This window comes from Homo sapiens, chromosome 6, assembly GCF_000001405.40.
Source record: "Homo sapiens chromosome 6, GRCh38.p14 Primary Assembly".
Lineage (NCBI taxonomy): Eukaryota > Metazoa > Chordata > Mammalia > Primates > Hominidae > Homo > Homo sapiens.
In genome coordinates this window covers 135880901-135907308 of record NC_000006.12, presented here as the reverse complement: position 1 = coordinate 135907308, position 26408 = coordinate 135880901, and the positions used below count along the sequence as shown (strand labels likewise).

Here is a 26408-nt window from a genome sequence, read left to right as displayed (position 1 = left end):
GCTGCTAGAAGAGTTGGAAATGGAAGGTAGTCTCAAAGAAGAGCCAGGTGGAAGGAATGTCAAAATCTCTCTACCAAGTCTTCTTAAATTGTTGGCTGACTCCTAAATCCTGCATGTGCAGGGAGGGTCTCCAGGAATTTTATAAAAAGCAGCAGCAGAAAGCTGTAGCTAGGAGGCCAAATGAGAGCTGAGCAGAGATTTCAGCAGAGATTTCCTGGATGTAGGAACAGAGTTTGCAGTTCACCAAGGACCAGCATTCATCAGTTGCTTTCCTCTGACCTTGCCATGTCATTTCAGAGATTTTCATGAGCTGGGAAGAATAGGTAGGTGGGCAATTAGGGGTCAATTTAGCTGGTTAAGTTTGGTTACCCTACCAACTATATAATATGAAAGGTAAAAATGCATTTAGACTCAAACGATTTCTCATTAACCACCTTTCCACAATGACATCCTGGGAAAAGCCTAGAGGATTAAAAAAAAAAAAAAAAAAAAAAAAAACAAACCTCATTAACATTTGAGTCAAAAGAAGACATGTAAATGTTTCTGCTATGAAAAGTATTTGTATGAGTCATTACATCAGGACACTATATAAGTACGTTCATACCATTTAGTCAAGCAAGTGCTTGCAGAGAATTTATATATAATCCAGAACTTCAAGTCTCTCTTACTTTAATTTGAAGAATAAAATCCAACAAAAATAACAAAATAGGGAAGACATTTCTAGCGTCTTCCTCTTATATGGTATAATCATCTATAATCTCTATTCTTGGTAGGTGAGATTGGGTGGGCAAGAGCTGTAAGTTCTGTTATCAGAATATCCATTTGGGAATGGTGTAAAATGATGACTGTTCAGAAGACTGAGACCTCGACTGATGGGATAATAGCTAAATATCAAACAGTAGGACAAAGGGAGAGCTTGCAGTTTCCCTAACTTTGTAAAATCATAGCCAGTAGATCTATAAGTAGTTCAACGGGTAAAGATTTTGCTTGTTTTGTAAAGAATCTGAAACTTTTAAAATAAACTTTAAGATATCACAAATCATTCTGGCTTTCTCGTTAACCATTTATACAATAAGTTCTCTAAAATGCTTCTTTTTCAAGCTTTTTACTGTCCTAACATGGGCCTTATCCACAGACCCTGACTAAAATATCCTGAGTCTCCACCATAGGCCTGCTCTGCGGAGTTCCCTAACTCATGTCATTGTGGGCACACTTCCTGAACCGTCACTTCCAAGCAACCAGAAAGAGAAGGTTGTACTTTTGAAACAGCAGCGTCCAATTGAAAAAACCGGGCTGAAGTTTTCCGAACATGTGGGACTCTTCTTTATAATTTGAACAAAGAAGAGGAGGAAAATTACAGGGTCACCGCAGCACAGGGCAGGAGAGCTCCCTTCTGTCCTGCTTCTCCTCAAACAATCCAGCAAAACGATGCCTGTGACCACCACTCCAAAAGTGACTGGCACGCATTCCAGCTGCTCGCCACACAATCAGTCCTTTCTGTCCAGAAAAAGGCCTGGGATTCATGCTGGCTTTTGCGTAGTGCGTTTAGCGTCATGCTGGCCCACTCCCCACACCCTCGCACCCACACAGAGAAAGAAAGAGAAACATGGCAAGACGGGCTGTGCTCGGCTGACTGTTAGGAAGGCATTCAGGTACTAGGCTTCCACGATGTTCGGCCATGTTCAAGCTCAGCTTTAGTGACATATTGCACATCTGCAATATTTTTATAAATTACAATAATCCAAAAATAAGACAGGAATGTGAATTCTCTGAAAGAGGCAACGTGATGATTATAGTGAAAGGAGACCGTATTGGATGTTTTAAGCATTTAGCCACAACTAAGTAAAAAGACTTTGGAATCTGGTTAGTGTTTCTCTTTTGTCACTTCCCTCCTGCTCAATTTTCTTATCAACCATTAAAAATGTATTCACACACACACACACACACACACACACACACATACACACACACACGCATGTATGTATGCATCATAACACATTGAGAATTACATCAGTCTAAAAAACGGGACTATTTTACCAAAAAATAAAATAAAACTCAGGTCAATTTACTAAATGCAACATCTTACTTGGAAAAAACTCTCAAATATGTTAGTGGCACTTGGTTGATTTTTTAGTTCTTTTATTTTCAATCAACTGTATTTGCTACACTGATACTATAATGTGGTCAGTAGTGGCCACATAATTTGCAGATTCTACTGCAAAATAAAAATGCAAGGCCCCTTGTTCAGAAGTTATTAATGATTTCAAGATGGTGACAGCAAAACGTTAAACCAACCAAACATGAGCCTTTCTGAGTATGGGACCCTGTGCAACTGCACAGATTCCATGCCCATGAACCACCCCTGAATGTGACTTCCAGGAATCCTAAAAGTTCTGTCACCCAGCTTTACAAAGAGCAAATCAATTTTACTTCTGCAGAAGGTAAATGAACTCTATGAGGTTAATGAACAGCAGTGAGTCATATCTTGTGTTACTCATGCAGGATGGATAGGAATGGCCAGTCTCTGATCAGGTATACACAGATCTCTTCAGAGACCCTGTATATCCCCATGAAGGAGAGTCAAGTTAAGAAATGCATTAAAATTTTGTCGATGCTATGACTAAAAGTAAGACTATGTCCCTACACATGTCAAAGTTATTTTACATCACAGTGTTTGATATAATATAGTTAATATCATACTATTACCATGAGATGGTTGGAAAGAGAATTTATTGAGACCCCCTTGATTGACAGTTGGTTAGAAATGTAATCAGAATGCCCATTTGGAAATGGAGAAAGGATGGACTGGGGTAATCTGTTGTCTATAAGTATTTCTGGGTTTTCAAGGGGTTGTGGTGGCGTGGAAGGTAATGGAATTTGCAAGAGCAAGTACATAAGCAAAGTGGGCTCTGTGTTAGGGTGAGAGAATCTCTGGGTGATTCCCATTTTTCATATGTATAATCAGGCTCAGCCAGCAACAAGCAGAAAGCTGCCATCAGGCTAATAAATGATGCTCTGGGGTCTTGGGAGCATTGGTTTCCAATTCCAGGTGGAGATATTTACTTATTCTGACTTGCCACAAGGTCAGGTGCTTGCCCCACTTTGCAATAATTTAGTCTTTGGCAAAGAAAATATTCTGGCCTTAAAAGCCTTGAAAAAGTCCAGTTTAAACATACAATTTCTTGCCCATTCCCTGTGGTATTTGAATATAAATAAGACATTTGATGTGATGGGAACAAACTCTGAAAGGAGAACAATTTAAATCCAAACTGCCTCTTACTTAGTTGGTAATATTTTTTAGGAAAAGCATTCTATTCAAATAAAAAAGGGAAAAATAAAGCAACTCTAAATCTATATTGCATTTTGCTTTGGAAAAATGAAAAGTACTTTCTTACAGATTTCTCATATATTTCACCTTCTAATGTTTACAGAATGGTCCTTCTAGGGCACCCTATAGAGGATGCCAGTTTTCATTTCTGTACATGCTCATGAAAAGCTATGCAAGTTCATGCAAAAGTTTTCTATTAATTTCTCTAAAAATACAAGATTTTGTACATAAAATACTGAACTCATTTATTACCACTTTAAAAAGGAATTTAATGTTTTGATGCTATTTTAATTCTAATGTGTGTGCTATTCATTGGAATTATGTCCCAATTTGTTCATGGACCTCTTTGGCCCTGAACTTGAAGGCAGTCCTTCCAGCACAGTTTGGGCAATGCAGACTAAAGTAGAATACTATAGGAGAAGCTCTGAAATGTAGAAATTTGGTTTGGTTGACATTACCCCTAAACAACTTTTAGAGCTTCCCCAATATTAGGAGAAACTTTGTGTGCCCCTCATTCTAGCTCAGACACTAAACTGAGTATTTCACTTGCACATACTCCTGGAAGCAGCATATTGGAGTACAGGAAGTGTAGGTGGTAGAAACACACAGATGGGTTAGAACTCAAGCCTTTACCAAGCCTTACCAGCTGTGCAATCTTTAGCAAGTGATAACCTCCTTACAATTCAGTTTCTTCATCCATAAAATGCCACTGATACAACCTTTGCTTATACAGTTTTTGCAAAGACGAAATAGATGTGAGGTGTTGAGTACAGTGTTTGGGCCAGTTTAGGTGCAAAGAAAATCTGAATTCCCTCCCTTATCTTTGCCCTTTGTTCCCATGTCATTATTCCACATTACCTAGTAACTGACTCTACTCAGAGCCTAGAATAATTAGGCATCATTAAATGCTTTTTGATTAGAAGAATAAATTATTATCTAGATAGCATTGTGGTTAGGAATACAGATACTGAAACCAGACTGCCTGGTTTGGAATCTAAATACCACTTACTCAGTGCTGTGACTTTGTGAAAATTATTTAACCTCTCTCATCCTGTTTCCTAATCAGTAGAATGAGGAGAATAACAACATCAACTTTCCAGGGTTGCTGTGATAATTGAGCCAGGATGTGCCGATTATATACTAACAGCTACATTTCTATTAGCTATTTTTCTTCTTCTAGTCATAGTAACAGAACTATTTGACTTATTTGTGAAAAGCTGAGCTAACAAAACACCAGTTATATCTGCTTGTCAGGTAAGTCCTTTAAAATACTTCCAAGGGTTAAGCAATAAGCCAATGATATACAAGATCAATTGCAGGACTGAAGAACAAATCTAGGATCAAAATAAGAAAAAGTAGATATATTTTTCCAGTTGTCCATCTGATGATCATTGATCAACCTTCTATATTGAAATTAAGCAGAGGCCACAGCAAGAGGAAATATTGCTTAGAGAGTGCTCAAAATCTCAAATATTCTGTGTTTCAGATAACTATGGACTCTTTTATTTGATGTGTAAAAAGGAGATTTTGCTTTATTTTCCACATTATGTCTATTGCTGACTCAGGGCACAAAGAAGAACAAATTGTGTAATTTGAGTTGAGAGCAATCATTTTTGCAGTTGTTCTTTAAAAAAAGAAAAAAAAAAAAACCTTCACATAATGAGCCAAAACTTGCCTAGAGATCTGTGTGCTCTGCTTCCATTGACGTCACTTGGAAGTTGTGTGGGCAGAAATTGGCTGACTTCCTCCAGCATGTCTTTTTGAAAGTTGAACATATTGAAAAAATGCACCCTTCTTATCCCAAACTACAGTATGGAGAAGAACATCATAAACAAATTTTCTGTTTACGTTCAAATGAACAACTATAAAATTCTGAGAGCCACATTTGCAAAGTAAACCCTCTTAGTGTCCGGTAAGAGGAAGGATGTCCTCTCTATTTGAAAAGAGAATCGTAGGGTGTTACAGCTGAAAGGACTTTAGAGATGATATCGTTCAACCAGATATGGAAGCTGAAACTTAGAGATTCAGGAACACTCCCAAGGTCAGACAGGGCCCAAGGCTGGATTAGAATGTAGGCATTCTGCTTTCTATTTCATTGCTCAGCTCAGGACAACGGGATGTGTAATAATCATTGTGTCTGCACACTTCTCTCTCATTATATAAATCTCAAGCACTGAGGCAACTGTCCATGAAAACTAGGAATTTTGTGTACAGTAAAACTACCAATTGCTGTAAGTACAGTAAATAAGCATAGTGCGCTGGAATTGAATAGATTGTGGACACAATTGGAAACTCATAAAGTGCTTCTGCATACAGCTGCTCCCTGGGGTGTGCTGCCGGGTCAATTTGGAGCTTGACTTGTCCACCTAGAGCTTTCTCAGCTCAATGTGCTCTTCCAATCGCTGAGAGGCTACCTCTTGGAGACAGGAAGAAGAGAGTACCCCAATTCCATCTCAGCTCCCACCCCTTTCAGGTTTATTCTTGCAAAAAAAGGTCTGTACTCATTCAGTCATCTGCTATGAGCTGGGCTGTGGCTTTCCGCCTATTGAAAACATTTTCAAATTCAAATATTTTAATAAAGTACCACTGTCTTTATTAAAATATGAGTAATTACAATTTCCCCCACCAAGATCCCATATACACTATAGTCAATAGTGAATAGATGAATCATATAGGAGAATGCCTAGATTTATTATGCTCCTGAGTATACATTGTTACTTATTATTTAGCTAGTTTGTAAATTTAAATCCATAGGAGAAGCCCAAGTATGAATGTAGAGTTTTTCTATTTCTGCTTTGCTTCATTCTGCTTCTTCCTAAAGAGAAGAATTCTTTATAGGTAGAAGGTCATCCCCTCTGTGGCCAGCCAGCTCAAAAACCTTAGCAGCGGTTGCTACTTTAATTTCTTCGTTAAACGTCTGTGATGGTCACATTTCTAGCAGTTCTATAAGTGGAAGTCCAAGGTGGCATTCAAAACTCTTTGGGGAAAACACTTGGTAAAATTTTTAGAAGGGCCAACAGCATTCAAATTTATGGATCAAAGAACCAGATATTGAGAATAAAAGATATCACACCAATCTAGCATAACTACTCCAGTTGAATGCTACCTAGACACTGGACAGGGGGCTAGGAGAATCTGCCACGATCAACACTGAAATAAGTGAGAGCTCTGAGGCCAATCACATATCCTGTTAATTGGAAATACTGAGTATGTCAGTCTATCCTATATGTGAGAATTTTGAAAAAAAAATACAGAATAAGGAAATTATCCTAAGGACACATAGGAAAATAAATTACTGTCATGGCTAAAAGAAGATATTTAATATTTGGCTCCTGAAATAGGCAGCAAGTAGACATGCCTTTCATGACACAGGAGCAGAAAGACGTGAAAGAAATGGAAAAAAAAAATCAGGATGAAAACCAAGCAAGAATTGGGTAAAATAGGGTAGAATTGAAAGAAAACTGTAAGTGCAATAGACTTATCTGAATTATCATTGGAAATAATGAAGGTCAGAATTAATACTATAGAAAACTGGATCAAAGACCTAGAGAAAACACTGGGAAATCTTTAGGAATGTAGCTAAAAAGGACAAAGAGTTGAGGACAAGGATGTAAAATATAGCAGATATAAAAGAACATATAAAAAACCCACTTAAAGTTTACCAGTATTCCTAAAGAAGTACACCTATTTAAGGAGCAATGACCAAGACATAGCTAAAGAAATATTTTTTGCACTAAAAAGATTCACATGCTAAGGTTAAACATGCTCACTGTGCCCCCGAGATATTAAATTTTAATAAAAAAGAGAAGACTTCATGCTAACAAACTACCTCTCAGGGGTTTTCCCTTTTTAAAAGATAATGTTTTTTTAAAAAAACCAGAACACACGGGGGAAAAGTTAGCTACAAAGGAACCATGTCAGACTAACTTTAGACAGTTTGTTTACAACATTAATTTCTTGAGGTCAGATAGAGAAATAACTAGAATTTGAAGTTTAAAAGGGTGTTAACAAAGAATTGTATACAACACAGAATTCCAGAAGTTATATAAGGAAGTAACTAGAATTTTGACATTAAAGGATGTTAACAAAAAATCATATATCCAGACAGTTGCCGTCCATGGCATATGTGAAGACAATAGAAAGATTTTATCATATGTGCAATGACTTTGAAAATATACTACCCATGGGTGTTTCTTTAAAAGCTTCCAAAAAGATCTATATTTAAAATTAGAGAAATCCAAGACTACCATAAACAAAATTAGAAATCCAAAAATAAATTATTATATTTGTATACTTCTTTCATAAATAAGAATTACTATTTATATAGGAAGCTACACATACAAATAAATATAACTATCTCAATGGAAAACAGACGAGTATATAAACAGGCAATATGGAAAAAGACACACATTTTTAATAAGCCACTTTAGAACATGTTTACTCATACAAGTAATCACAGAAAAACTAATTTAAGCAAAATTATTTAATGCCAGTTTTTAACTTATCTAACTGCAAGTTTACATATAGATCTCATATATATCTATATCTATATTATATATACATAATAATCTATATATAGACATATATAACCTTGCCATTGGATAAGATACATGTAAGTATACATAAATACACACAGATACATATGTATAGACATTACCCAGGTTTCAGGAAAAATGGCCGTCTTATTATTATTAAGATGAACGTTGTAGAACTCTTCTGACATGATGTATTAGTCTGTTCTCATGCTGCTAATAAAGACTTACCTGAGACTGGGTAATTTATAAAGGAAAGAGGTTTAATTGACTCACAGTTCCACATAGCTGGGGAGGCCTCACAATCATGGCAGAAGGTGAATGAGGAGCAAAGTCACATCTTACATGATGGCAGGAGAGAGAACTGTGCAGGGGAACTCCCATTTATAAAACCACCAGATCTCAGGAGACTTATTCACTACCATGAGAACAGCATGGGGGAATCCACCCCCATGATTCAATTATCTCCACCTGGCGCCCCCCTCAACACATGGGGATTATTACAATTCAAGGTGAGATTTGGGTGGGGACACAGCCAAACCATATCATATGTAATTTGGTAACATGTATCAAAAATCTTGAAAAGGTTTAATACATTTGCCACTAGAGTTTTACTTCTAGCATTTATTCCCTAGGAAAGAATAATAATTTGTCCCTAAATTTATCTATAATAATGTTAATGCTAGGGTTCTTCATAATGCATGCAACTTAGATGTCCAATGATAGGAGACAGATTAAATTTTGTACACAAATTTATGGCCATGCTATTTACGCTTTATAGAAAATTTTGGTTCAATGTCTGTATTTTTTAAAGAAAGTATATAATTTAAAATTTTGTGAAAAGTTATTTTCTCTTTTCAAAATGACCAAAATTGCTCTATGTTCTATGGGTGGTAGAATTATGAGATATTAATTATATGTGCTGAGTAATTTCTAAATATTCTATAATGACATATATAACTGCATTCTTCATTCAAACAAAATATTCTGTCTCTGGGGGACATGATTACAGGTCACTATTTTCTTATATTTTATAATTTATTTTCCAAAATTTTCACAGGTACTTTTATAAAAAATAAAGAAAAAGTTTGTGTTTTTTCCAAAGAATTCAGTTAGGTGACCAAACATGTATTTATTACTTCATCAACTAGTTATTAAAGTGTGTAATAAATTTCTTCTGGGGTTTACATGAAGTCTTTTAGCAGACAATGAAAACTACAATCTGCAATTAGTGTAGTTTTTAATCTAGTACATATTACTTTCTTCCTCCTTGCGAACAAAATGCCAGTTTTGATCTGGGCAGCAATGTGCCTAGCTGCAAGTAAGCCATGTTTTTAAAACCCTCTTCCAGCTATGAGTGACCATGTGACATAGTTCGAATCAGTAAAACATCAGAAGTGGTCTATAAAGGCTTTTGCTTTTCCTAATATAAGGATCAGACATGGTTTATTAAGCCTCCTTCCCTTCTTCATGCCTTAAACCTGGATGTGATGTCTGGAACAGCAGCAGCTGTCTTGCAGCGCAAGAAGCTCAAGGAAAAGACCAACAGACTTGCAGAGATGCTGGCCCTGACATGATCCAGCTACCGAATCAGGGCTGGTGGCCACTGGCTTTAGATCCCCATGAGAGGAATGAGCCCTTACATGTTTAAACCACTGTGAACGAATACTGGTAAGTCATGGTACTGAATGGCTTCTGACTTTGTTTTATTTGTCAGGAAGCATTACTAAATTTAGTGCCTAAATTGAAGTAAGTGGTTCATTTCAAATGCCTATTAATACCTACTTTTCTTTTTAGGCTGTCTCCATTCAATATTTATTCTTAATTGTCTAGCCTTATATTGTTTAATTTTGTTAGAATCTTAAAGCCTTCTGCAAGTTGGTGAGATCCACCTGCTGAGTAAATTCTCATTTTTCTCTGTTGTTATCAGCTCCCTGGCTACCTTTCTCTTCTGTATAGTTCAGTTCACCTTCATGGGTGTCTTTAACATGACATGAAAATAGGGCCATTCACTCTGCTGTCTGCAGTAGGCAAGGAGCTTTGAAAGACAAGCACACTAATGAAAGTAGAAGACATTGACCCTACTCTCAAAAAAATGTGAAAGTTAGTTGAGAAGATTAAACACACACTGTCCCTCCTTCCTCCGCCTACACACATACCCACACACACACACACACACACACACCCTGACACAATGGGAAGGCACTTCTGAAGTTTCAGATGAATTCCATTCAACAAGCACCCTCAGAGTTTGTGCTTATGCCAAGCATTGTGCCTGGTTTTGGAGATGTGAAAGTTAACAAAGACAGGTTTCTTACCTTGGAAGGCTACTGTGTAGGTGGGAACACACCTAAAGTTGATCATTGTGGCAGTGGACTACTGAAAGTGATCTGATGAAGATGGCTTAGGGTGCTTGTGTATGAGAGAGGTATCAGAGAGTCTTTCTTGAGGAAACCACATCTGGAAAGAGGAGGAGGTGCTAAGCTTGATTGGAGAGTGGTATTTCAGGCAGAGGAAAGAGCATAAATAAACACACTGAAGAGATGGGGGATGGTGGACAACAAGTATTTAACTATTGCCTCCACAAGGAGGGTCAGAGATGGAGCTGGAAGGAAGGAGCTGGAAGGAAGGAGCAGTGGAATCGTGGAAGGCTTTGGAAAGCATACTGAAGATCTGTTGGGTAGTCTAAGGTTTGGTGCGTTGAACATTGACTTGGGAGCCAGACTGATTTGGTTTGATTCTCAGCTATACCATCATTTTTTGCATGCTTAGGCTAATTTTTTTAACCTCTCTGCGTCTCCTTTTTTTCATCTGTAAAATGGGGACAGTAACATACACTTTACAGTTGCAACAATATAAGTTGCAAGGATCACAGCAAATATATGTAAAACACCTAACACATGAGCAGGCATACAGTGGCTACCCAATAAATGGTAGCAAAGTTTTGAAGCAGATTAGCCTGGTCAGATAGGAACGGGTGCAGAAAAATAGATCAAGGCCGTGGGTGTTAGTGCTAAAGTTATGAGGTGTTACAGAGTGCTTAGGAAGGCATTGATCAGGCCAATCCTAGGCAACTATGGGTTGGAGTAGTTATCTTAGGAACCAAGGGAGGTTCTTTTCTTTTCTGGCAGAGACCCAGTCCTCAACCTGTTCGTGTATGAACAAGTTCATAGGAACCAAGGCTCATACATGTTAGCTCTACCTCCAGCCCTAATCCACCTTGCTACTTGTGCTTTTCACTAGATTGAGTTCATCAGCACAAGGAGAATAGGCTGTTCTCTCCCCGCGTTTTCATATACCTGTTGTTTGGCATGTTCTAGGCTCAACCTCTCCAGAATTGTCCTCTATGTGTTTGACAGTTAAACTTCTTGTAAATAGCATTGAGTTTGCAGCTAGTCACACAAAATATACCAAATGCAGAGAAGGATGTATAGAAAATTGTGAGGCATTCTCAAGACACCATTCACAGAAAATACGAAGATTGGTACAACTAAAGAAGAAGGAACCCTTGGGGCAGATTTCAGGAGAGCCTAGGGTGAGCTAGGGAGTGTGATGGAATCAGTGGTGGTGGAGGAGGAAGTACAAATACAAGGCTGTCTCTTTTATTGCCCAAATCCTCCTTGTATTCTTTTCCCTTTCTGCCTTTTTTCCCTTTGCCCCTCCAAGAACACTCAAGCTAAAGGCTTGGCAAGCCCTGTCTGTACTACACAACAGAAGCCTTTATTTACAAGTAGAAAGCTCTGCTTGGTCCTTTTAAGTGTTTTCATGAGACCTTATTTCTATTCCCAGGTTGCAATGAGTCTACTTTTTAGCCAATATTTCTGAAATGTTTTTGCCTGCAAGCACATTTAATTCTCATCTTTGCTGAAACTCCTACAGGCCGACCAGCACTGAACTTACATTGGAAAAAGGACTTTTTTGGTGGGGATGTTGAGAAGGAGCGTACTAGTTTACTGAATTACTCGTAGACCCGGCAATGTTGGCAGCTATCAGAGAGAGGTCAGGGCACCAGGTCTCTTTCCAGTCTACAAGCAGATCTTTCTCTCCCCGTTCCAGGTTATCACAGTATCTCACACTTGGCAGTGATTTCATTTGGCGTGTTAGAAATAAACAGGGGTTTATTTTCCAGGCCTTGATAAACAACATTGACTTTGAAAATGAAGTCCTTAACTTTTGCCGCTCACTATCATTATTCGTGGATGCCCAATTACTTATGGATTTCTTTATGAATGACAAAGTTCTTTTGTTACATGTGCCTTCTAAAAGCCAATGGGCAATGTACATCTCAAAAAAGTTGTATCTAACTCCTTTTTTTTTTATTTCATCACATGATTATCTTTATTGGACAAACAGGATTTGCCTGCCTTCTCTGATTTGACTGCTTATATATAACTCTATTTATAGAAATTTATTATTAATAAATTCTAATTGTAATCCTATCTTAAACCCTTTTTAGCACATTTAATATAAAGGCATTTGATCAAATTATCCAATATTTAAAATTGAAATATGATTCTTTCTGTGAGAAAAATTTCCTTAAAGAAAACTCTAAAATTAATTTTTAGTTTTTGCAGGCGAGATTGAAATTTTATTTCACGGAGTAGAAATTATGATTGAACCCACCTGGGTAAACATGTTCCCATATTTAGTGGGACCCGTCTCGTACTGATGTGTCCAGATGTTTCATTTTCAATTTAAATAACATGTTCAAGATGTACTGTACATTTCAACGTAGCTGGGTGGAAAGTTAAACATCAGCCACGCAACCCCTTTGGACAGGTTAATTGTGCAGAGCTCATTGGAATAATGCAATTTGGCATGTGTGCCTTGGATGGAGAGAATGTGGGAGGCTATTGTCCTTGGGGTCTCCTCTCTCCTTTTGTCTCCATTTGCCTCATGTTTCTGTCTTAGAACAGAACGCTCTTGTTTCCTTGGAGTCCTTACCCCAAATCACCTATTAAGAAAAATAGGAACAGGTTATAATTCTTGTTATTATGGCTTTCCTGAGACGGAAAAGTGTTTGGCTAATTTCCCCACTCCTTGGAATTCTCCTTATTTGAATTCACTTGAAGGCGGGAGTTAAAGTATCTTTCACGTAGGTTTTTAAATATACATTTAAATTCACTCTATAGTTCTTAACATTTACAAAACAGTGTCAATTAAAAGAAAAATAATATAAAATGCTATGTTTGAGATAGAATCACATAATAAACTAGGAACTAGTTTAAAACGTCTAATAAATAAGCCTTCCCAAACTCTATTTGGTACAGAAATAAAGCATATAGATGTGGTTAACATTTTAACCTAGAAACATTTAAAAATACCAAGATGATTTTGGGAATAAAACTTTTATGGTAGGTTTTGTTACTGATATTTTAGTAATTTCCTTAACTGGCATCACCTATCACCTTAGTGGCCTATTCAATTAATTTTTGGAAGTGGGTGGAATATAAATTATGCATGAATATATAAACGGATCAAGTTTTTAACTGGAATAAATGCTTTTGGTGACAGGTTAAAAGATCTACTTTAAATCAGCTTATAATATCTATTTTTAAAAGACTTCAAAACTTGAAATTAAATGTTCTCTTTTCACTTCAATGACGATGGTGTAATTATTCTTGGGATTAAGAAGATATTGTCATTATTAATTTCTATATAAGTGATTATCAATTCAGAGAGTCTACAATTAGATACCTGCTATGTGCTTATCATAGCAGGAGACACAGGATGATTAAGAAAGGCTCCTTTATAGCAGCATGATTTATAGTCCTTTGGGTATATACCCAGTAATGGGATGGCTGGGTCAAATGGTATTTCTAGTTCTAGATCCCTGAGGAATCACCACACTGACTTCCACAATGGTTGAACTAGTTTACAGTCCCACCAACAGTGTAAAAGTGTTCCTATTTCTCCACATCCTCTCCAGCACCTGCTATTCACAATAGCAAAGACTTGGAACCAACCCAAGTGTCCAACAATGATAGACTGGATTAAGAAAATGTGGCACATATACACCATGGAATACTATGCAGCCATAAAAAATGATGAGTTCATGTCCTTTGTAGGGACATGGATGAAGCTGGAAACCATCATTCTCAGCAAACTATCTCAAGGAACAAAAAACAAACACCGCATGTTCTCATTCATAGGTGGGAATCGAACAATGAGAACACATGGACACAGGAAGGGGAACATCACACACTGGGGCCTGTTGTGGGGTGGGGGGAGGGGGGAGGGACAGCATTAGGAAATATACCTAATGTTAAATGACGAGTTAATGGGTGCAGCACACCAACATGGCACATGTATACATATGTAACAAACCTGCACGTTGTGCACATGTACCCTAGAACTTAAAGTATAATTAAAAAAAAGAGGCTCCTATCCCTATAGGTATTTACAATTTGGTAGAAATCTAAAAGAAGACAGAACAAGAAAAGTGCACAAATGAGCTCTAAAATCAATGCCATGTGGATTCAAAAAGAGGCAAGATTATGGGTAGAAGAGAATAAGGAAGACTTTCTGGAGCATAAGTTCAACAGTGAACATGGAAACAAAGCATATGTCTCATTTATACAGCTTCAGCTTGGTCCATTGCAAATACACTGTAAATAAGGCATAGGCATCTTTACTAAAGATACTGAGAAATATTCAACTTATTGTAATTCCTATGAAGATGGCTAGCTGAACATTTCAAATCGTCTCTTCTATATATGAGCTTCGATGCTGACCCATAATAAGTAACAACTCATGTTAGATGTCAATCAATTTTAGCATTCTTTCTTATTTCCAGTTATCAGCAAATGGTATTTGAATAATATAGAAGAGGTGAGCTATTATAATATATTCCTATTACCCGATACTATGTATGTACTGATGGAAGTAATTATTTAATGACTAGAACTGCTTCATTTCCTTTCATATGCTTCACTAGAAAGTATAGGAAATATCTCCTCAGAATAGAACTCAGATTATAGGACCTTAGAAATCATATGGTCATATGGATCAAATAACTTTTTGATGCATTAGCTATAAAAATAATGCATTATGCTAGTACTGTGAGTCAAGATTTATTAATAATGCCACTTGGGAAGGTACTTGAAGTCACAGGATCAACTGTATCTGCTTGTTTTGTTAGTCTGGATTAGTTGATTCTCACGTTTCTGAAAGCCGATATAATTAAGCTGCTCTCAGCAAGTCTAGGATAAGCCAAAGATATATTTCATAGAAGCCCAAAGAAAGAGGGCAGGAATATAAAGTCATGAGACTTATTTCTACAAATACCACTCAAAAGCCCCTGAAAGTGACTCATATTTAACTTCCAAAATTCAGTGTGTTCACTCAATAAGCATTTGAGAACTCACTGGGTACATAGTAAACAATAATATCAGAAAAGAGGAAAATCAATTCAAATCCATATGGATATAATTAAATTCCTAGTATTCATTTTTTTAATTCAATTTCTTGGGTACCAACTATAGACCATGTGCTCTTCTAGCTGTGGACTGGAGTGGGAGGGGTGGGCAGGAGTAATTATGATAATAAACAAAACTAGCATGCTCTCTTCCTTCCTCAAGCTTACAGTCCAGCTATGCTACAGACAGCAGAGGACACAAGGTAAATATGACAGAATCCTTTCAAAAGAGTTTGCAATCTACTGGAAAGGTAGTAGATACATAATGACAAGGTAGAACATGCTTTCTCTTCTTAACCAGAATTATCATCAAAATCACTTGGAAGGCTTTTTCAAAATTCATATGCCTAGGTTTCATTCCACACCCAAATGAATGAAAATGGCTGGCAGTGGAGCCTGAGAATGCACATTTTGAAACACTGTGTTCAGATGATTCTGGCGTGGACCACTGGTTAGGAGCTCCGCGTTTAGAAGGTGTTTGAATTTCTCACCTCAGTTTTGCTCTGACTTCATTATAATGCATCCATAATTTTCCCAATGCTCCTGAAGGTTGCCTTGTTTTCCCAAGGATTATTAATGAGACCTGTGGATGGAATTCTTAACAGATGGTAGGGAGAGATGAAACTATCTTGCCATTTCAACATCTGGCAAATACATTCTTCCTTTAGCCCTAATGATCTATGATTTTATATGCAGTCATCAACACAAAGATTTTCATTTTAATGAGTCTCACTCTTTCAGATTCTTTTTCTAATCATTTTTGTTACTCTTTGGGTTCTCATCTTGAAAATAAATGTATGGCTTCTGCTTTGAAGCCTAATTTTCCAAACAGAACAATATTATAGTTCAGATCTTGTCAGAAATATTAAAGTATGTCTCTGCTCTTTGGCTTATGCCGAGGGAAAAATCTATTGCGCCTGTAAATGCAGCCTCACTTGAAGAATGTGTCCCTTTAAAGCTGAGGCATGTTTAAGATGCGTATGTAATTCAGACCTGTTTGCAGCAGAAACCCTTTTAATCCTAAGAAGCATGTTAAACAAGAGCTTTTTTGGCACATGGCTTATGGATGCAGGAAAAGAAAATATGCCTTTCTTTTATACAGTTAACTGTTCGAAAATAACACGTGAATAAACACTTCAACTTTTAGTAGTTTCTTGAAGATGGGGATACTCATGGGTAGAGCAGCCTCGGTAGAAAAAAAACAACTCTAATATCAGAGTCCTATATGGACCATGCTCGTTTTCCCATTAGCAGTTTCTGCATTTCCTCCCCGGACCTCGAAGAGTATCTTTTTGCTTTCCTAAACTTAGTGCAACTTGCCTTGCATCAACAAAATAGGTGAGTTTATAGTGACTGCCTCTTTTGATCTCTTGCCACATTCTTCTCCTTCTCCTCATTTTGGTGGATATATAATGATCTCAGGGAAGATGGTGCAGACTCCTTGGAGAGTTTATGATGTATTCTCAAAAATGCCAGTCATACCCACTGCGTGCTGGGTTACCATCACAGTCAAGCTGCACCTTTGAAGCTGTGCACATATTCCTTATGTTTTATCTCCAGTAGGACAAATGCTGCCAAACATGAATGATTTACATTCACCGGAGTGAAACAAATCAATAGCAGCACTCTGGTCCGCAACTTTGACCAGTTTGAACGCACAAACAATCTGCATGTGGCTCTAAGTACCATAGGAAATATCTAGAACCTGTCTGATAAACTTACGGTGTTAAAACAATCAGAGAGTAAAGAATAATTTTGTAAGGAAATTCTTCGCTTGTCCACCATATCCCAACATTATGTTTCTTCAGAAATCTCTAATAATGGAAATTCATTTTTTAAAATGTTATTGTTTTATCAGTTTGTAAATTATTGTGAATCATGTATCATACGAAGTAGAAAATAATTATATACATCAAACAATTGGTACACTCATGTCCCTGCCCAATTCACACACTGAGACTGATATAAAAAGTAGCACCATCTGGGTGTGGTGGCTCATGCCTGTAATCCCAGTACTTTGGGAGGCTGAGGTGGGCGGATAACCTGAGGTCAGGAGTTCGAGACCAGCCTGATCAACATGGTGAAACCCCGTCTCTACTAAAAATACAAAAATTAGCTGGGCGTGGTGGTGGGTGCCTGTAATCCCAACTACTCAGGAGTCTGAGGCAGGAGAATCGCTTGAACCCAGGAGGCAGAGGTTGCAGTGAGCTGAGATCGCGTCATTTGCACTCCCGGGTGACAGAGTGAGACTCCATCTCAAAAAAAAAAAAAAAAAAAAAAATGGTAGCACCGTCTGGGTGCGGTGGCTCACGTTTGTAATCCCAGCACTTTGGGAGGCTGAGGTGGGCGGATAACCTGAGGTCAGGAGTTCGAGACCAGCCTGACCAACAAGGCAAAACCCCGTCTCTACTAAAAATACAAAAATTAGCTGGGCCTGGTGGTGGGCGCCTGTAATCCCAACTACTCAGGAGGCTGAGGCAGGAGAATCACTTGAACCCAGGAGGTGGAGGTTACAGTGAGCCGAGATTGCGTCATTGCACTCCTGGATGACAGAGTGAGACTCCATCTCAAAAAAAAAAAAAAAAAAAAAATTGGTAGCACCATTCGGGTGCGGTGGCTCACACCTGTAATCCCAGCACTTTGGGAGGCCAAGGCAGGCGGATCACTTGAGGTCAGAAGCCTGGGTGACGGAGTAAGACTCTGTCAAAAAAAAAAAAATTGTTCAGCTGGAGACAGCTGGACATGGTGGATCTAGAGAGCCAGGGTCTTCCCAGGTCAGGTTGAAGGTGGTTCAGTGAGAGCCTGAGTCACATTAGACCTATACTCTAACATAGGCCTGGGGTATCTGTTGGTGGGTCATTGTATTCAAACCTCAGGATTCCTTTAGAATTTAAGAGAATTTAAAGATGTCCTCAAGAATCTATTAACTGGGCATGACCCCTGGAAGATCAACCTGCTGAGTAAAAGATTCCATTTATATTATTAGGCAAACTTTAGAACTGAATTTCTGCTCAAAACTGAAGTTAGGGATGAATCACTGGGAAAATCATCTAGACTAGATATTTAGTAAAATTCACTTGTAACTTATAGAAATCACACAACTTTAGATGTATTTATAGTATTTCTTATTGTTTTATTTCTGCTTGTTTTCCTTAAGGGCATGTGCTTGTGGTAGATTATATTAATCACATTTATCTTCTGGACACCAGAATTATATAATTAGAAAAAATATTTATAAACACAGAAAACCAAAACTACTACACCTACTGTTGACATTAGTTGTTCTTCTTGGATCTATATTTCTAAATAGTCCAGAACAGTGATGTTTATTTTATACCTATAATATTTATTTTTTATACTACTTATTTTTTATAATATTTATTTTTTAAACTAGTACACCTACTGTCGACATTAGTTGTTCTTCTTGGATCTATATTTCTAAATAGTCCAGAACAGTGATGTTTATTTTATACCTATATTTTATACCTATAATAAGTATAAATAAAATAACAAGAACCTATTCTAAGGTGTTATACATGCACACCTATTTAAGGTGTTATACATGCACACACACACACACGTGTGTATTTCAGCTTTATTGGAGCTCAGAAATGTCAGTTACTTTATCTGAGGTCCCAAAGATAATTATCCAGTAGCATAGCTCTAAGTCCTTGGAAGCAGCAGAACATAATGGTTAGGTACCTAGATTTGCCGTTAGATCTGGGTTCAATAACTAACTGAAGGTCACACTAATTGTGTGACCTTGAGCAGGTTACTTAGTCCTCTTTTTTACTAAGTAGTCCTCTTCTTGTAAAGAGGTTACTCAGTGTCTGTAAGCCTCAGTTTATAAAAGTCTTTAAAACGAAACTCACTGAGGTCATAGAGGTATCATAGCAATTACGTGGGATAATATAGGCAAAAGCACTCAATGCAGTAGTTCACAGGTAGTAAGAATTTGTTAAATGCCAATAGTACTATAGTTGGAGAGAATTAAGAGATGACATAGCAAGATGAAAGATGATGTAAATAATCACAAATATATGTCCAGGGAAATAGTAAGCGCAGTAGAACAAAGAATTGGGGAGTAGTAGGGAGTAAACTGTCAAAAGGTAAATCATGATTGGATTACAGGGGAATCTAAACATTGGGCTGAAAGATTGAGGTGGCTGCTAGAAACAATGAGAATTCATTCAGAAAAGGTCACATGAGATTTATTTTTTGTTTAAAGGTTTAGATTTGACAACACCAAGGTAACTGCCACAAATTATGCTTATTTAGACCAACTAAGTAAACTTGCTCCAAATGTAGATAATTGAGAGGGTGTAGATTTGCATAGCCAATTAAGCCTTTTCAATAAAATAAAGCCCCTAATTAATATATTCTCTGTAAATACTGGGTAACTACTAAGGACAAATCTTTGCTTAATAATTTTGAAAGCAGAATACAGTACACAACATTTAAATAAATATCAAACTTAAGTGTATATTTAGTATCTTTGTCAATATTGGGTTCACCATCATTACTTAGTCTAACTGATACGTTCACTTTTCTGATTTAAGCAGATCCTTTCATATTCTCTTAATTATTTTTCTGGTAGGGTTACAGGTTAGGGAAAATTATTTTAAGTCTGTACAGTTAATCTGCAGAGCAATTATAAAGTACTGAAAGCAAGACTCATTGTTATATCTCCAGCCTCTAACAAAAGGTCTTGCACAGTATAAATGCTCAGCAAATCTTTGCAAATATTAACTATGGATTCAACAAAGGACTAGTATCCAGAAGCCACAGGAACTCAAACAAATCAGCAAGAAGAAAAACAAATAATCCCATCAAAAAGTGGGCAAAGGACATGAATAGGCATTTCTCAACAGATTTACGAACAGCCAACAAACATATGAAAAAATGCTCATCATCACTGATCATCAGGGAAATGCAAATGAAAACCACAATGAGATACCACCTTACTCCTGCAAGAAGACTATTATTAAAAAGACAAAAAACAACAGATGTTGGTGTGATGTGGTGAAAAGGGAACACTTTTATACTGCTGGTGGGAATGTAAATTAGTACAACCACTATGGAAAACAATAGGGAGGATCCTTAAAGAACTCAAAGTAGAACTACCATTCAATCCAACGATCCCACTACTGGGTATCTACCCAAAGGAAAAGAAGTCATTATACAAAAAAGACACATGCACGAGCATGTTTACAGCAGCACAATTTGCAATTGCAAACATATGGAACCAACCTAAGTACCCATCAACCAATGAGTGGATAAAGAAAATGTAGTATATATACACTATGGAATACTACTAGGCCATAAAGGATGAAATAATGTCTTCTGCAGCAACTTGGATGGAACTGGAGGCCACTATTCTAAGTGAAGTAGCTCAGGAATGGAAAAGCAAATATCATATAATCTCACTTATAAGTGCGAGCTAAGCTATGAGGACACAAAGACATAAGTGTGATGTTTGAACTTTGGGGACTCAGGGTAGGTTGAGAGGGGAGTGAGGGATAAAAGACTATATATTGAGTACAGTGTATGCTGCTCAGGTGACAGGTGCACTAAAATCTTAGAAATCACTACTAAAGAACTTATCCATGTAACCAAAAACCACTTATACCCAAAAAACTACTGAAATAAAAAAATTTGCAAATATTCCTTAAGGGAAAAAAGGTAGGAAAAAGATGATAAAGGGAAGGAAATATTGCTGTAACATGTTGTTATCATCCTGCAGAGGTCCTTGGCTTCTTGCACACCTGCATGATAAAGGTGCTATTGATTCACAACCCTACACTCAGGAAAAGTTTCATTACAACTACAATATAAGGACACCTTATGGTGTCCTTAAAAGCACTCAACGGTATCTTAGTATTTTTCACTCTTCAGTCAGCTGCCATTTGACTACTGCTGTTTACTGTCCTGATTGAAGCAAGGCCATTGTATGTTTCAGAAAATGTGACGGGGGTTGATATTAGGTTAGGCAAGAAACTAGCAGCAAACTAAATTGAGTCAAGTTGTACGTTTTGCTCAAAGCTGACAGAAATCTCCACAGCAGTAAGGATCCTCTATTATAGACTAAGTTTTTACACATGATCAAAATGTGCCTGCATGCCTGTGAATTAACAGGAGTCCGCCAGAGCATCTTGTCTTAACAGTTATGAGAAACAACTGATTGGACTCAGCTTTGCTTTTCCATCTCACATGTTTTCTCAGCATTGCTTGCTATCACAATGTGCAAGGTATGTAGGTTCTTTCTTCTAGTCATCACATATGATCATTACAATTCTATTTTGTGCTCTTTTCAACCAGTCTTTCCAGCAGCTAGCTAGTTCTTTTCTTTCAGTAACCTCTTTACTTTTGCTTGTTTGTTTGTTTTCCTCTTCTTCAAAGCTTAATTTCTTGGAATGGGGTTACACTTAATAGCAGAATGTGTGTATTTTTCATTTGCAATAGACATTGCTTCTCCAAAGGACTCTCTTATTTTTCTGAACATTTACAAAGATTTAAAGAGAACTGTTTATAAATGGAGATCAGCACTGGTTTTCTGACATGTTGATGTGGGAAGAGTGGTATTTCAAACATTTGAGTGTAGAATGGACTGATGATGCCCGAGAGATCACTGGAAAGGTGCACACCATTATGCAGATGCAGCCCTGGGCCACGGTAGTGGCAGTGAGATAAAAAAAAAAAAAAACAACAAACAAGCAACAACAAAAAACAAACAAACAAACAACAAAACCCTCCCCACATTTTCAAGGCATCATGATGACAGGCTTTATGAGGCATCATGATAACAGGCTTTATGAAACATCATGAATATTTGGCTCTAAGAGTAGGGGGAAGTGAGAAATTGAGAGATATCAAATATTACTAAAATCTAGACTCTGAAATAGAGAAGAATAGAAATATGATGGCAGAACTAGAAAACCAGGAGAGTGGAGGGTTGGATCAGGGCTTCAGAAGACCCTGAATCAGGTTCTACACAAGTTAAGTGACGGCATGGAAATCCCCCTGGCTTTTCCATGAGTTGATGTGGGCTCTGCCGCTGACATGCTGTGAGATCTTAGAGCAGACGTTTAATTTAATGGGTGTAATATCCTCATCTGTAGAATGCTAACTAAGTTAACTGGTCACTATAGTCCCTTCTAACTCAAAATTCCTGTAATTTTACTAATTTGACTCATAGGCAGACAGCTTCGAGAAAAACAGTGAAAGACAAAGACTGGATTTGAGTTCAGGGATCACGAAAAGAGCAGTGGAAGGAGACAAGAAGAAAGATACACATGATACAATCCCAGTGTTCAATAAATATCTATTGACTAATCAATAAAATTAGAAATATAGGTGTCCCCAAGAACAAGAGAAGAGAGTTCTATAAATACTACTGACTGTCAATGCTATTAAATGCCATAGTCAATAGAGAATAAGACCAGCAAGTGTTATGGGATTTGGTGTACAGGATGCTAGTGACCTTAAGAAAGTACTGGGACCAGGATAGAGATTTCAAGGACATGAAGTCAAAAAGCCATAGAAAGGACTTCTGTGATATCGAATCAGGAAAATTCTGAAAATTCTGCCGGAAAGACTGGTTGAAAAGAGCACAAAATAGAATTGTAATGATCATATGTGATGACTAGAAGAAAGAACCTACATACCTTGCACATTGTGATACCAAGTACTGCACACTAGCTGATTGCGCCACTGGAGCATGCTTTAAATTCTGAAAATTCTGACAAGTCAATACACACTAAGTGGTTACTAGTAGAATCTACTTTTAAAAAAATGAATTTGGAATATTTAATTTCACCCATTATTTAAGCAAAATATGAAGCTAACATAGACCCATTAAATATATAGCGATATTTATTTATCCCACATGGACAGTACTGGCAAGCAAACTCTGCAGATGTGTGGGATATGAGCTGCTATAATTCAAATGGCAGGAATTTATTTATACATACTAAGCTTCAGAGATTATTTTACATGAAACATTTATAAAATATAGTCATATTCAGTGTATTAAATGAGTCCTTCCTACCAAACGCAAAACAAAGCTGAAACCCAGATGACTTTGCCGATGGGGAAATCAACCATGCAAATTTAGTCATGTCCATTTAACCCAGCAAGGCTGGGCAGAACCTGATAATTAATAGAAGCCAGCTCCTTTCACTGGTGATCTGAGTACATCAGAGTGAGGCACCCCAGCAGGAAAGAGCTTCGGCATGGTAAGGGAGGCCCTGAAACAAATGCTTTAGATGTCAGTGCAGGACATTCAGTGACCTGGAAATATGAGGTCTCTCTTTATTTTGACCCAAATTGAAAGCCCAAAGAGTGTAGACCAAAGACAGAGGACACAGCCTAGTTCAGTGCCAGCCACATGTGAGCACTTGATGAAAGTTCTTTGAATAAAGCAGGTTTCTTGTTGATCTCATTGACAACATTTATTTACTGTAATTGTCTTGTTGACTAAAGCACCGTCTATTGCAGACTCATATTTTAAGCAATAAACATCATCGGATTTTGCAGACACACTTAGAAATTACTTTTCATAGAAATTTACTTTCTTTTCCTAGGACTTGATGGCCTAGGAGAATTAACATAGCTCGTTAATAAATATTAGACATTGAGAGACAGTCCTCACTTAACTTTGCTGAATTGTTATTATTTAAGCAGCAGAAAACATAAGCAAATGTGAGCTGGGCAGGCTTGAAGGCCTTCTCATGAGGGCTCAGTGTCACCTTGTTAAACAGAGCTGTTAGGACACCTAGTGTATGTCCAATTGAGCCGCATGTTTAACAGGCTTTAGGGGGATTTTCCATATATAGAATACACATTAGTACTTTAGTGGTGGACATAAATTGTGTATGACTAAGCCATTCCTCAAGATCAGTGACAAGATTTAAAGAGAAAACTTGACCAAATGGAGTGTATTAGTAAAAAGAAACCATGAACTCAAGGCACCTGGACACCCTGATACCTGAAGAATGCCTGGAGTAATTGAGGATATGTAGTCTGAAAAAGAGGAGATTTGTGTTTTGATGTTTCAATGTCTACCTTATGAAAAAAGAGATTATATTTGTTCTCTTTTGTACCAATGGTGAAAAACAGAAATGGATTTCAGCTCTTTGTAATAGAAAACTTTATAATAATGGGAACCATAAAACTACCGGCCATCTAGTGAAATATTCAGGTCTCCACTGGTCATTGAAAGTGTTCAAATAGGGGAAGACAATCTGTTATTCTCAGCATAACAGATATAGTTAACAAAATAGAAATTACAAGTCAAGTGTGGTAAGGAGCCTGCCTTCTGAAGTTGCAGAGCTCACACAGCACAAAAATTACTTTAAAAAACTGCATAGACACTATCATCATCACCTTTATTTTCTTTGAGAAGTGAAAATTGCTATACATGGAAATCTCAAGGGAAAAAGTCCTGTAATCCATCTGTTCAGTCTGTGAAGTGTATGTATTTATTGAATAAGGTTTAAATTGAGGAAATACTTAAGGGGAAGGTGGCAGAAAGATTGATGAATGGAAAGGGAGAAAGTGAGAATGTTCAAACTGAGAAAAACAGTGTGGAATATGATTTGATATTGAAGGGAAACAACAAAGGGGAGAGCCAGGAAGCAGGAAAAACACAGAGGGAGAGAAAGTTGGAAATAATTTTTACTTAGTTGAAGACTTTTTTATTTTTTTACATGAGGTTCATAGTATATTTTAGCGCTGTCAGTAACTCAGGGAAACAGAAAATAATTTAATCGAAGTCTTTGTTCTCAGCGGGGGTCACACCACATGGTAATAAATGAGAATTTGGTGGGCTGTGGATATCCAATAGGAAAATTCACCACAAATTTTATACCTAACAGGCTTTGAGTAATTCCCTTAGATAAATCAGGCCAGCTGCTCCTGCCAGCCTTCCTTCTCATCCCAAGCCTAATAACTTCTTGCAAATTTAAATCTAAATTGAAGAATGGTGCCAAAACATATTATGAAAAATATGGCAAAAGAATTTCACCTCTACTAAATAAAGACTACACCTCAACCCAGTCTACAAATTAAACACGCATGTGGGAAGATGGAAGAGGTTGAGGTAGACAGGTATTTCTCAAGTTTGTTTCCAACACATTTTCAAGTCTGTTTTTTTTTAAATAATGTGTAACAAATATAATTGTACAGTTATTTCAGTTATACAATGCAGTAACCTCAACTGCCTTCTTCTAGAGTATTTTGAGTTCTTCTAAAATAAAATCCCATGTAATGTAGAGAAAGAGAGGAAATAATCTAGAGAGATGTTAGTGACTTCAAATGGATTCAATTCTGATGTCTGTACAAGTTGCCTTATCTACAGTACACTTTGGCCTGGGTTTATTAGCTTCTATTCCCTTAAGTCTTCAGGCTTACAGCTGCTCTACATTAACAGGTCATTGCAGTAGGTGTTTGTTATTAAAAAATATATTGCGGGACCTGCCTATTAGCATGCAGACTCCAACACTGACCTTACTATTTCTTTTTTTTTGAGACAGAGTCTTGCTCTGTCACCAGGCTGGAGTGCAGTGGCACGATCTCAGCTCATTGCAACGTCTGCCTCCCAGGTTCAAGTGATTCTCCTGCCTCAGCCTCCTGAGTAGCTGGGACTACAGGCATGCACCACCACACCCAGCTATTTTTTTTTTTTTTTTTTGTATTTTTAGTAGAGACGGGATTTTGCCATGTTGGCCAGGATGGTCTCGATCTCTTGACCTTGTGATCCGCCCACTTCAGCCTCCCAAAGTGATGGGATTACAGCTGTGAGCCACCGTGCCTGGCCCCTTACTGTTTCTTTATACATCATTGTGATTCCAACAGTTTCTGAGTCTCAAAGATATGCTCCCATGTAGCCTCATACAACAGCATAGGGCACTTGCATGTTCCAAAAAACTTAAATGCAATAAAAGCAAATGGTGCCTACCCTCCCCATGGGGTCTCTGTATTTCCCAGGCTCTGAAATACACTGACTGAGAGAAATGTGCGAACTTCATACCTGGTCTGAGATTTACCCTGAGATGACTCTTGCCTAGAAAAGAAAAAGAGTTTTCTCTTCAGCATCTCTGGGATTAGAACTATTAGCAAACTTATAATTTTC

At 37.4% G+C, this 26408-nt stretch overlaps 1 protein-coding gene across 1 annotated transcript in view; it reads right to left on the bottom strand.

Moving 5' to 3' along the window:
* Positions 1-26408, bottom strand: part of PDE7B (phosphodiesterase 7B) — a 343874-nt gene that overhangs the window by 288266 nt on the left and 29200 nt on the right. The gene's annotated exons all lie outside the window — the stretch shown is intronic.